Genomic DNA, 12959 nt, shown 5'->3' with positions numbered 1-12959 from the left:
GCCTTATGTGCCATGGAGTTCAGACTTTGTCCTGTAATGAGATAGGAGACAGGAATGTTTGTTTGTTTGTTTTTGAGACAGGGTCTCACTCTATTGCCCAGGCTAGAATGCAGTGGCTCAATCTCAGCTTACTGCAACCTTTGCCTCCCAGGTTCAAGGGATTCTCCTGCCTCAGCCCCTGGAAGAGCTGAGACGACAAGCACGTGCCACCATGCCCAGCTAATTTTTGTATTTTTAGTAGAGACAGTGTTTCACCATGTTGGCCAGGCTGGTCTCAAACTCTTGACCTCAAGTGATCTGCCCACCTTGGCCTCCCAAAGAGCTGGGAGGTGTGAGCCACTGCACCCAGCCCAGGGGAGTGTTTTGAACTGAGGGATGAAAGCATTCACATGGTCAGATTAGTGCTTTAGAAAAGTCACTTTAGAGATAGAGTGGAAGATGGACAGAGGAGGCCAGGATGGGAGGCTGGAAGAGAACTTGGGAGGAGGCCACAATGTCCAGGAGAGAGATGATGGTGGCCTGGACCAAGACAGGGGCAGTGGGGATGGGGAGAAACAGGCAGGTCAAGAGATGCCACAGGAATGGAGATTGGAATTGGAGAATGGGTAGGAGGAATCCCCAGATGATGCCTGGGTTTCTGGCCTGAGAGATGAAGGGCTGGGATTTCTGTTCTCTGAGTCTGCAAAGGCAAAAAAGTGGCTGTGCTCGGTTTCATGCATTGATTTATTCCATCATACATATGTTTTGAGAACCTGTGTGTCAGGTCTGGTGCTAGCTGCTGGAGTTTGGGGTTACCAGGTGGTGCCATGTGTCCTCTATCGACCCCTCATCCTACCCTACTCATCTGCCCTCTGAGCCCCCTCTCGCCTCCCCGGAGCTGCTCCCTGCCCACCCTGGACTTCCTGCTAGTGCTTGGTCTCCCCTGGCCAGCTCCATTCCAGCGCTCTGGGTGTGACCTTAGGCCTGGTTCCCCACCAAAATGAGGTTGGACTCTATAGACTCCTGGCCTCCTAGGCTGAATGGGGCTTGCAGGCCATCTCACAGCCCCCTCCCAATGTACAGCATGCTGCCAGGTGGGATCTGCCCCTGCCCAACAGCCAAGTGCTAGGCCACCCTCCCTCCCTCCTGAGGCCCTCATCTGTCCACCCCTTCTCGGGTGGGCAGCACTGCCACTGCCAGCCAAGCCTGATCACCTGAGGCAGTCATCTTCCTTCCAACTCCTGGCCAGGACAGAGCTTCAGAAAATGCAGCCATGGTTCTTACCTGCAAACATGAGAATCCACTGGAACTGTTTTAAGCAAGAAAGGAGTTTATGGAAGAGTATGAGATAGCCCATAGGATCTCCAGGAGGGCCAGAGAGTCGGGATGGAAGATGGGCAGCAGGAATGAAGTCCAGACTCCAGCAGGGGTTGGTGCCAGTATAGGCCCCACGGCACCCCTGCTGGGCAAGACATCACCACTCACACCACTGACCAGAGCCCCCACCACTGCTGTCCCTCAGTGCCACATGCCACCATCACTACCTTCACCGTCATTTCCAAATCCACGCTTTGGCTTGGAGGCGTCTGGTCACACTCCTGCAGCACAGGTGCAAAGGGAGCTGGGAGAGGGGGTTTTCTAGCTTCTCCTTAGTGAAGCCACATACCACAGGAAAGTATTGAAGAGGGGCTGTCCAGGTGCAAAACAGGACACATGTCCCCTGCGGTGGCCACACCCCCTCAGTCAGCACTGCAGCTGAACCTTGCTGGCCTTTGGCGTCCTTCTTAGAACATGGTTTCCTGCTCCACCTTTGAATAAGCTCCAGGTGCTCCTTCCCCAGGGAGACTGACCTCTCACCCTTTTTGTACCCAAGGCAGACCCGTGGCGCAGTGTGTGTGAGGCTGAAGCCTCTCTGGGAAGGGCCCCGTGTCAGCCTGACCCTGCCTTCTGCATGCATAGCTGGCACAGAGTAGGTTTCAATGAACACGTAAGGAAGGAAGGAAAGGAGGAAGGATGGAGAGGGAGGAATCCCCAGTGCCAGCACTGAAAAACCGCACCTCCGCATGGCTCCCACCTCAGGGATGCCGTATGGTCTCTCCAGGGCTCTGCTCCTGCAGGCATGGCCTGGGCTGACCATAGGTGCCAGGCCAACGTGGAGCCTGGGCATGCTGGTGTGGGTTTGTTCCTGGGTGCAGCACAGGAGGCTGGGATGCTGCCTGCATCTCCCAGAGCCACCCTCACCCCCGTGTGCCCACACAGGCATACACGGCCACCGAGCAGGAGATGCAGCAGCAGATGAGCCTCGGGGAGCTGTGCCATCCCGTGCCCCTCTCCTTTGAGCCCGTCAAGAGCTTCTTTAAGGGCCTCGTGGAAGCCGTGGAGAGTACATTACAGACGCCATTGGACATTCGCCTTAAGGAAAGTAAGTCGCCGAGTGACCAACTTTGTGTCCTTAACTCCCCTAGTGTCCTTTAGCCCAGAGACGAATGCAAAGATCATCTCCCTACATCCTGTCTCTCCCACACTGAGGCCCTTGGCTGGGCGGTCAGGGGCTCCTGGGCCTGGTGCCCAACCCACCCTCACCACTTCACCTCCAACCCTTCCTGAGACTGAGACCTGCCCTTCTCCAGTCACACTGCCCTGCTTCTGCCCCTCAGATTGCTCCTGGGAGCCTGCCACATCTCAGCCTTGCTCTGGGCTCCCAGCTGGAATGACCAACTCTTCCTCCTTCTCTTCCTCTGGCTGGGGCCAAGGCCTGGCACCCCTTCGAGGCAGACTGGCACAGCTGCGCCCACCTGGGAAGCCCTTTCCTGCCAGCCCAGCCCTGACTCACTCTCTCCTTTAGCCATCTCCCCTCTCCCTTCCCGCTCCAGGGCCTGCCCATGTCCTGCTAGAGGGTGCTCATGAAGTGGATACATGGACCCCCCTCCTTGCCCCTTGTAAGCACGTGAAGGGCAGAAACCAGCTTTAGGTCCAACTCTGAGGTCCCCCCAGGGCCTGGCACAAAACATGTACTCAAAAATATCTGTTCTTTGATTCATTTATGCATTCATTCATTCATTCACCTCTGCTATCATGATTCATTCAGAACATTTATCAAGCCCCTCTTATATGCCAGGCATAGCAGGGCACAAAACAAAGCTCCTTCTCCTCTTTTGGTGCTCACAGTCTTCGTAGGGGAAGACAGACCGTACACAAACATGTCAGGTGACAGGAACTGCTATACTGCTATAAAGAATAATAAAGGCCGGGCGTGGTGGCTCACGCCTGTAATCCCAGCACTTTGGGAGGCCGAGGTGGGTGGATGATGAGGTCAGGAGTTTGAGACCAGCCTGGCCAACATGGTGAAACCCCATCTCTACTACAAATACAAAAATTAGCCAGGCATGGTGGCATGCACCTGTAATCCCAGCTACTCGGGAAGCTGAGGCAGGAGAATTGCTTGAACCCGGGAGGTGGAGGTTGCAGTGAGTTGAGATCATGCCACTGTACTTCAACCTGGGTGACAGAGCAAGACTCTGTCTCAAAAATAACAATAATAATAATAATAATAAACCAGGGCAGGATGGAAGACAGGAAAGTGACAAGGAGGAGGAGCTGTTTTATATAAGCAGTTGGGATGGCCTCTGAGAAGGGGACACTCAAGGTGGCCCAAAGGAAGCATTCATTCTGCAGGTTCTGTGGGTCTGAAGGGCCAGAGAGCACAGTGGTCATAGGCACGGCCTCTGGAGCTAGGCCTCCTGGGTTCCTATCCGAGGTCTACCACTTGGAACCCTGCTGAACCCTGCCATCTTAGACACGGCTCCTCCCTTTTCCATGCCTCTGTTTCTGCATCTGTAAAGTGGAGACCATAATGCAGTCGCCTCTCCTGGGCTGCTGTGAGGATTAAATGAGCTCTTACACATATAGCGCTCAGGCATATTAAGCACCACGTATGTCTTGGCGATTATGATTGCTGCTGCTGTTACGTCTGGGGGAGGTATTCTAGACAGAGGGAAAAGCAAGGGTGGAGGTCCTGAGGCGCGATGGGAGTGAGCTGGCCATATCGAAGGAGCAGCAATGGGGACAACAGGAGTGGACGTAGGGTCACAGGGGAGAGAGGAAAGAGATCAGAATCCAAGGATTTGGACGTGGGCAACTCGCAGAAGGAAACTGTCATTTTCTGAAGTGAGAAAGAGTATTTAGGACTGGAGGGAATGAAGTGAACCTGTTAGATTTGAGAAGTTGGACTTCCCATGTGGTGGTATCGCCTCGGCAGTAGGACCTATGATTCTAGAGTTCTGGGGAGAGGGGAGAGGCTTTTGCCTTGATGAAAGAACAACTTCAGCCAAATTAAATTTAAAGGAGTTTAAATGAGCAATGAACGATTCATGAATCCGGCAGCCCTCTGAGCCACAGTGCACTCAGAGACTCCAGCACAGCCACGTGGTGGAAGAAGATTTAGGGACAGAAAAAGGAAAGCGACGTACAGAAAACAGAAGTGAGGTACAGAAGCAGCTGGATTGGTTACAGCTCGGCGTTCGCCTAATTTGAACACAATTTGAACAGTTGGCTACATCTGATTGGCCAAAACTTGGTGATTGGCACAAGTGCAGGCTACGGTCTGTTTACACCTCCACTTGTTATTGTTCATGACGTACAGAAAAATATGTAGGCCGAACTTAAAAGATGTAAGGAGGAGCTTTAGGCAAAACTTGATTTAAACAGCCTGCAGGTGGGCTTCCCACAGATCTCTACAGGCCCCTGTGATGAGTGCTGGGAGTGATGGGGGCGGAAGGCACTTCTGCGGAGGTGCTGAGTGAGCTGCGGCCCCAATAGCTGGGAAGGAGGCAACCTGGGCAAGGGGGGAAGGGTGTGGGGGGGCTGTCCAGGCAGAGGGCACAGCAAGTGCCAAGGGCCCTGGGTGCCCCTGCTGTGCCCGCTTGTTGGGATAGACTCCCCTCCTTCTTTCTTTCTGAGCACTCAGACCTTCCTGAGGACTCAGCTCTACTTTCTTGTTTTCCATCTTTACCCTGGAATCTGCACATCTTCCCTGAGTCGCCGCCCATCCTTGAGTGTTGGATCCAGTAGTTGTTCGCGCCTCAGCTCCTCCTCCTATTTAGGACTCTCCCACACCAGCCTTGTCATCCTGGGGTTTTCCTGTCCCTGTGAATTCACATAAATCCCTTAAATCTGCCTGGCTCTTGGGCGAGATTATGCGAATCTCCAGTTGTGTGGTATTTTTAGCACGTCTTATTTGTCTGCTTGCATAAGCTCCGGGCGCTCATTTCTCAACAATTCCTTACAGGCATAAACTGCCAGCTCTCAGACCCTTCCAGCACCAAGCCAGGTACCTTGTTGAAAACCAGCCCCTCACCAGAGCGATCGCTATTGCTGAAATGTAAGACCCCCGGGAGTGGGGATAGGGTGGAGACGGTGGAGATGGTGGGATGTTGGGTGGAGGAGGATCATGGAAATGGAGGTCCCTCTTTTTTTCTCATTAGAATTTATTTATTTATTTATTTTAAGAACTTGTTTTTTAAAAAATGTTTATTATTAAAGGCAATAAAACAATACATGTTCATTGTAGAAAAATTAGAAAATGAAAGAAAAAAGTTACTCATAATCCCTCTTCTGTGAATAACTGCTATTATTATTTGTCCTTTTAGCTTTTTTAGCACATCTAATATGCATATAATGATATATTTAATATATCTTTTTATGTTACAAACGTGGTGTCATACTATACATACTGTTTTGTCATCTGTTTTCATTTACTGATATATTATGAACATATATATATTTGGGATTTATACAGTGAGCCACTGTGCCCAGCTAATATTATCACTATGTGTGTGTGTGTGTGTGACCGAGTCTTGCTCTGGAGTGCAGTGGTGCAGTCATGGCTCACTGCAGCCTCGACCTCTTGGGCACAAATGATTTTCCCACCTCAGCCTCCCTCATAGCTGGGACTATCAGTGTGTGCCACCATGCCCAGCTAATTTTTTATTTTTATCATTGTTTTTAGAGGTTGCATGGCATTGCATTGAATGGATGTGTCATATTTAGCCAATCTCATAATGTTGGATGTTTACATTTTCATTTCTAAAACAATGCTGTAATAAACATCCATTCTTGTACACATTTGTTGAATTGAATTAATGAATGAGAGAATGAACACACCATACCTCATTTTCAGATTATTTTTTAGGAGTAATTTCTCAAGTGGAATTACTGGGTGTCAACCTAAAAAAGACTCAATCTAAAGAAGGCTCAGTATCCAGTTAGCAGAGTTTATTCAAGTGCAAAGTAACCATCAGGAGACAGAGGGAAACCAAAGAATGGTGATCACTGCCCCTGGTGTTGGGAGGGGGACAGTGAATATCAAAACAGAGGCACTGAATAAATTTACATTTTCCATACAAAGGCTAACATACTGATTTAAAGGCCGAGCACGGTGGCTCACACCTGTAATCCCAGCACTTTGGGAACCCAAGGCAGGTGGATCACTTGAGGTCAGCAGTTCGAGACCAGCCTGCACAACATGGTGAAACCCTGTCTCCACTAAAAATACAAAAATTAGCTGGGCATGGTGGCATGCACCAGTAGTCCTAGCTGCTCAGGAGACTGAGGCAGGAGAATCGCTTGAACCCGGGAGGCGAAGGTTGCAGTGAGCCGAGGTCGCACTACTGCACTCCAGCCTGGCAACAGAGCAAGACTCCGTCTTAAAAAAAAAAAAAAAAAAAAAAGTGCACAAATCAAAAATGTGCAGATCAATCAGCTCAATGATTTTTTAAAAAGGAAACATATTTTGTAACCACCTTCAGATCAAGAAATGGAAATTTCCACTCCCCAGAAGTCTTCCTCATGTGCCTTCTTGTTTACTATCCCCAAAGGGGATCCACTCTCCAGACTTCTAGGACTATAGGTTAGTTTTACCTGTTTTTGAACTTTCAGTAGATCATTCACACTATACCCTTCTGTGTTTTGCTTCTTTCACTCAATATGAGATTTATCCATTTTTGTATATTGACATACTGAGTGGCTGTTATAAATTCACTTAGTACTTCTAAGCTATCTACAGATTATTTGGGTTTTTGTGTAAATAAGCATGTCACCTATGAATAATAATCTTTCATTTCCCCGATCTTTATTCTTTCCTTTCACTTCTTTTTCGTGCCTTGAGTTACTGTCTACTACATTTAGAACATTGTTGAATAGAAGTGGTTATAATGAGCAGCATTTTCTCCCACCTTAGACATATATCCAACAGAAATGCATACATATGTGAATCAAAAGACCTGCACAAGAATGTTATGTGACCGAAACACAGGTTCAGTTGCTCAACGCTTTGCAGAGTTCAATTAACAAGAGCGAGGTCTGGTATAAAGAAAGTGGTTTTATTCTAAAGATTAGCTTAGGGGAAGAGGTACAGGCTCCTCCTGCCCTTAACGGTACCGCCTCACTTTTGGGGCAGAAAGCAGAGGCTTTTAAATGGGGACTTTGTATGAATGGCATGCAGGGAAGGAGCAAGCAGATGGGGGTCTATATGACTCATTTTGATGCGTTTTCTACCAAGTGGTTGAGCTGGTGCCATTGAGGGCAGAACTAGGTTGTAATGTGGCCGTTGTCTTGAGATGCTGTCCGGGTGGAAGAGTTCTGTTGAAGGCATACTTTATGTTGTAAATTGACTGTTGTCTCTTAAGGCAATCTCCTGGTGGGAGAAAGTTCTGGTTCTAGACCCTCTAAGTAGGTAGATAAGTTTGCCCTGTAGGGACTATCTGGTGAAGGGAAGGTAATGGTTATAATTACATTTCTAAAGAGCTAAGTAGAGGCAGGGCACAGTGGCTCACACCTGTAACCACAGCACTTTGGGAGGCTGAGGCAGGCGGATCACCGGAGGTCAGGAGATCAAGACCAGCCTGGCCAACATGATGAAACCCTGTCTCTACTGAAAATACAAAAATTAGCCAGGCGTGGTGGCAGGTGCCTGTAATCCTAGTTACTAGGGAGCCTTAGGTAGGAGAATCGCTTGAACCCAGGAGGCCGAGGTTGCAGTGAGTCGAGATCACACCACTGCACTCCAGCCCGGGCAACAAGAGTGAAACTCCATCTTAAAAAAAATAAAAATAAAGAGCTAAGTAGGAAGTGGGAGACAGGAGAAAAAGGGGGAAAATCTTAAAAATAATTCATTCTCTTTCTCTTAGAAAAATGCTCTTTTTCTTAGAAAACTCAGTCTCTGTTACACGTTTACAGTTATAGCAACATTAGTCACAATAGGCAACACGGAAACAATCCAAATGTCCATGGAAAACTGTTTGGCCTTGTTTATGAAAGCTGAATATCCACATACCCTGTGATCCAGACTTAAAAAACAACAACAACAACAACAAAAAAAACTTCATGTGTACATACATGGTGTAATGCAAAGAGAAATGTTAATGAGAGTTTAAATCACTACAAACTTTGGGGAGGATAGTTTTGCAATATGTATCAAAGACCTTAAAAAAATACCCATTGACCCAGCAATTCCTGTTTTAGGAGTATATTCTACAGAAGCAATCAGATACGTAAAAATGTAATTGTATTAGTGGTTTCAAAAGCTTTTTAAACGGAGGACTAAGTTATGCGTCCAAACATCAAAATTTTAGAATCTCCACTAAAATGCTCTTGTGAAAGGATATTATGATGTGTCAAAATGCCTCACAAGTAGATCAATCAATTTTAAAAAGCAGATTACCTAACGTCATGTATGGTGTGACACCAATATTAAGAAAAGCTATAAAAATTAGCCGGGCGTGGTGGTGGGCGCCTGTAGTCCCAGCTACTCGGGAGGCTGAGGCAGGAGAATGGCCTGAACCTGGGAGGCGGAGCTTGCAGTGAGCGGAGATCGCGCCACTGCACTCCAGCCTGGGCAACAGAGCGAGACTCCGTTTCAAAAAAAGAAAAAAAAGAAAAAGAAAAGCTATAAAGCAGCAAGGGGAGGGGAAAGATAGGAAGTACACACACCCTAATGTTAACAGTGATAGGATTAGTTTTAATTAAATTTGTATTAATTGGCAACAAATTTCACGGCACAAAATACAGACAGTATAAGGGATGTGCAGCAGAGTGATCTCTTCTTCCCCTTTCCCCAAGACCCCGCCCCAGGGGCAGTCGCGGTTTAAAGGGGTCTGTCACCCCTTCCTTGGGCCATTTCCGCGCTTCGCATTTTGTGATTTGCACGTGCGTTGGTGGGTTCCCGGGGGCGGGGCGCCGCGCTGGCCCCGCCCACCAGGTGCGTCCCTTGTCTCGCCCCCTGCAGACGCGCGCACGCCCACGCTGGATCCTGACACGATGCACGCGCGCCTGCGCCTGTCCGCCGATCGCCTGACGGTGCGCTGCGGCCTGCTGGGCAGCCTGGGGCCCGTGCCCGTGCTGCGGTTCGACGCGCTCTGGCAAGTGCTGGCTCGTGACTGCTTCGCCACCGGCCGCCACTACTGGGAGGTTGACGTGCAGGAGGCGGGCGCCGGCTGGTGGGTGGGCGCGGCCTACGCCTCCCTTCGGCGCCGCGGGGCCTCGGCCGCCGCCCGCCTGGGCTGCAACCGCCAGTCCTGGTGCCTCAAGCGCTACGACCTTGAGTACTGGGCCTTCCACGACGGCCAGCGCAGCCGCCTGCGGCCCCGCGACGACCTCGACCGGCTCGGCGTCTTCCTGGACTACGAGGCCGGCGTCCTCGCCTTCTACGACGTGACGGGCGGCATGAGCCACCTGCATACCTTCCGCGCCACGTTCCAGGAGCCGCTCTACCCGGCCCTGCGGCTCTGGGAGGGGGCCATCAGCATCCCCCGGCTGCCCTAGGGGCCAGGACCGGCGTGACAGCCTCCAGGTACGCCGCAGCTGCCCAGTCTCGCCTAATCTACCTAGATCAGCGTGGCTGGTCCCCTTACTGCCTGCTTCTTAGGGCCCTCTCCCTGCCCCAGCTTTCCCCGACCAATCACGCCTACAGTGCTTTGAAGGTTTCCTCTCCTAGGCTAGTTTCAAACAGGCCCTAAACAAGTCTGCTGCTGCCCTCTCATCAGACCTCCGCACCCTCACCCCACCATCACTTACACTACTTTAATCCAGTTCCTTCAAAGTGATACCCCCACAGGTAAGCCCTCAGCATCCTGAATACATCATCCGCAGCCTGGGAACCTTCTCCCTCGTACAGCACAGGAACCTGACACATAGTAGGCACACAGTAAACGTTTGTGAATGAATGGGAGTCATCCAGTCCTGACTCTTCTGTCTCTTGAGGTCCCTTGAATCTTCCGCTTCCTCCCCACCGATTTCAGCGTGTCCACATCACAGCTCCCTCCAGAAGCTGCAAGAGCTTCTTAGCAGTTCCTGGTCTGAACCCTCTCCCAGTCCTCATCTTCCACCCTAAAACTAGAGTGATCTTCCTAAAACTTCACTTAACCCCTCAGCTATGAAAAGGCTTCCAGGAGTTTCCATGAAATAACAAAAAAAAATACAAGCGCCTCACCTTAGCATTCAAGGCTTGTCTAGTCTGCCCAAAATTACTTATCCTCACCTAGCTCCTACCACTCTTCTTAGAGACTCTCCAGTCAGAAATGTGTCGCATAGTTCCACCTCCACACCTCTCTGCTGCCAGCACATTCATGCAGAAAAGTCTTTTCACCTGTCTCAGTCTTCCGCAGGCTTACCTGCGCCAGGAAGTCTAACCAAGGAACAAGAATCTCACTATCAGAGCCACAAATCTGGGACCTGTCTTTCCAACTAAATTGGAGGCTTTGGAAGGGCAGCTTTGTCCTATACTCTCTCCACCCTGAAAAGTTCCCAGAAAGCCCCTTCCCTCCCAAGCAGTGAATTAATAACCAGCAGGTGCCTATCACTGAGTAACAGAAGAGCTGAGTTAGGCGGGCCTCACAGGTCACCCAGCCAGATCTCATCTGGGGAGTCTGAGGTCCTGAAAGAAAGCAGAGCTGCGTAAAGTTACCCCGGGGTGATATAGGGGGGCCAGACGTGTGCCCCGTTCACCCACCCCCAGGCAAGCATCTGACCTGTCCCCTGGCCCAGCCCTTAGGCCCAGCTTTCAACCTGCTTACTCATTTCTCAGGGGATTTTGGGAAGGAATCAGCAGGTGACAGTTGCTAAGCAACCAAAGGGGGTGGTGTTTCCCAACTGTCTTGGGACAAAAAGGGTAAGAGCACCCTTAGATCCAGATGTTGCCAAGGAAACCCAGAGTGCCCAGCTGTCTGGAATGAAGTGACAGAGGTAGAAAACAGTAGGCCCTCACAGGAGGCCACCTTCGCTAGCAGGGAGTGGGAGGCTTCTTTCCAGGGATTTGTGTCTCCGTTCTGAAGGTTCTGCGTCCTGTTTTGTCAATTCCCTAGACGGTTTTGAAGTTATATTCTGTTAAAGCATCTTCATAGGTGCTTGGTGGGAGGCCAAGGTCGCCGAATCCTCGTGGTTTAAATAGACTTTCAGTGCATTAGTTTGAACCATATAAAACTGACAATTTTCAATAGTTTTTGAGTTAAAAATGGCACTTTTGATATGAGACAATGTAGCAGAATACCAGGCAGACAGAACCTTGCAAACACCTTAACTTCTAACCAAAGACTTTAAAACTCTGGCTGGACAGAGTTTTAAGCACTATGCTGCAGGAATCCTGAGAAAAAGGGGAAATTAATTCTATTAGGAATGGCCCAAACTGAATTGTGACAGGCAGAGGGTGTTCCTGACAGAGGGAAGATGAATACACTTGACCCCAACATTTCTGCCCATCCCTGATGACCAAGACCTCTTCCCAGACCCACAGCTGCAGGGGCCAAGTAATAACAGCTCTTAATAGTTTATAATGCACTGTTTTAATGCTTTACGACTAAACTCATCTGATCCTTTCATCAGCCCTAGAGGGTAGAAAGTTTTCCCAATTCTACACATGGCAAAATGGAGACCCAGAGTCACTTGCCCAAGGTCGCACAGCTAGTGGTGGAGCTGGAGTCTGGGCCCAGGCTGTGAGTTCCAGGTCTGTGCTCATGGCCACCAGGCCCTACTGCTCAGGGTGAATGCAGCTGGTCTCTGGCCAGTGCCTGGTGCTCTGGCCCCTCTCGTGGAGCTACTGCCCATGATGCTTTCCTAGTGCCTGGTTACTCTGCGAGACTTGAGTCTACCTTTGGACTGCCTTCCTTGGGGGTCTGAGATGAGGCCTTATGGCCCAGAGGGGAACTTGATTCAAAAATTTGGGATTCATGTAGCAGAGACAGAGCTAGACTGTAAAGGTCACAAACTAGCTGTGTCAAGGCCCGTGATAGCCAGAAAGCGGCAGTTTCAGTCCATATCAATTGTGTGACCAGGGCTAGTCACTTTTTACTTCTCAGTGCCATCTATAAAATGGGGATAATAGCACTACCTACCAAGTGCTGTGAGGCTCAAATGAGCCAAAGGTTATAAACTTGCCTTAAAACTATAGTCCTATACAAAAATTAGCTGGGCGTGGTGGTGCATGCCTGTAATCCCAGCTACTAGGGAGGCTGAGGCAAGAGAGTTGCTTGAACCCAGGAGGCGGAGATTGCAGTGAGCTGAGATTGCACCACTGCACTCCAGCCTGGGGACAGAGCAAGACTCTTGTCTCAAAAAAAACAAAAAAAACATATATACTGCTGTATCATGCCAGGATTTATCAGCATTCCCAAGGGAGCTTGCACGGTACTGACCGAGTGCTGAGACTACTGGTATTCCCAGCTGCCATGTGGCAGCAGCAGGAGCTACTAGAATATTCTCAGCACAGGAATGAGGCTTCCTTGGTTTCCATGTCTGTAAGGGTTACTGATCACTTACCTTCTTCTCTTTCAGACTTGAATCTGTAGACATTTCTTTATTGATATGGCAAATTGCTTGCAGATATTTTTAAATGACAGCAATTTTCTAATATTTGGTTTAATAAAATGTGAATAATGTCCCTTTTAACCATGGTCTTCACTGGGAGTTCATGTTGCTTCAAGTCCCTAGCA

At 49.5% G+C, this 12959-nt stretch overlaps 1 protein-coding gene across 11 annotated transcripts in view, besides 4 other annotated features; it reads left to right on the top strand.

Moving 5' to 3' along the window:
- TRIM14 (tripartite motif containing 14) overlaps positions 1-12959 on the top strand; it is an 83426-nt gene that overhangs the window by 21955 nt on the left and 48512 nt on the right. For 6 of the 11 annotated variants that reach the window (XM_047424162.1, XM_047424161.1, XM_047424160.1 and 3 more), the window contains exons 4-6: positions 2239-2401; positions 5267-5359; positions 9263-9826. In XM_047424162.1, coding sequence (XP_047280118.1) covers positions 2239-2401; positions 5267-5359; positions 9263-9798 — 792 coding nt within the window. In that variant the 3' untranslated portion in view covers positions 9799-9826. Of the gene's footprint in view, positions 1-2238; positions 2402-5266; positions 5360-9262; positions 12916-12959 lie in introns of those variants that run through there. The other 5 variants (NM_014788.4, XM_047424164.1, XM_011519244.3 and 2 more) reach the window with 3 other exon arrangements.
- Positions 6057-6616: an enhancer, noted in NCBI's record as "OCT4-NANOG hESC enhancer chr9:100852934-100853493 (GRCh37/hg19 assembly coordinates)". NCBI's record gives its function as "activates a minimal SCP1, AML or CMV promoter by ChIP-STARR-seq in naive H9 embryonic stem cells {active_cell/tissue: H9 hESC(naive)}" and the evidence as "EXISTENCE:reporter gene assay evidence [ECO:0000049][PMID:30033119]".
- Positions 8987-9660: an enhancer, noted in NCBI's record as "H3K27ac-H3K4me1 hESC enhancer chr9:100849890-100850563 (GRCh37/hg19 assembly coordinates)". NCBI's record gives its function as "activates a minimal SCP1, AML or CMV promoter by ChIP-STARR-seq in naive H9 embryonic stem cells {active_cell/tissue: H9 hESC(naive)}" and the evidence as "EXISTENCE:reporter gene assay evidence [ECO:0000049][PMID:30033119]".
- Positions 9308-9577: a silencer, noted in NCBI's record as "silent region_20114". NCBI's record gives its function as "represses an Ori minimal core promoter by ATAC-STARR-seq in GM12878 lymphoblastoid cells {active_cell/tissue: GM12878}" and the evidence as "EXISTENCE:reporter gene assay evidence [ECO:0000049][PMID:35858748]".
- Positions 9661-10335: an enhancer, noted in NCBI's record as "H3K27ac-H3K4me1 hESC enhancer chr9:100849215-100849889 (GRCh37/hg19 assembly coordinates)". NCBI's record gives its function as "activates a minimal SCP1, AML or CMV promoter by ChIP-STARR-seq in naive and primed H9 embryonic stem cells {active_cell/tissue: H9 hESC(naive and primed)}" and the evidence as "EXISTENCE:reporter gene assay evidence [ECO:0000049][PMID:30033119]".

The sequence above is a fragment of the Homo sapiens genome, chromosome 9 (genome assembly GCF_000001405.40).
Source record: "Homo sapiens chromosome 9, GRCh38.p14 Primary Assembly".
Lineage (NCBI taxonomy): Eukaryota > Metazoa > Chordata > Mammalia > Primates > Hominidae > Homo > Homo sapiens.
This window is presented reverse-complemented; position numbering and strand designations above follow the sequence as displayed.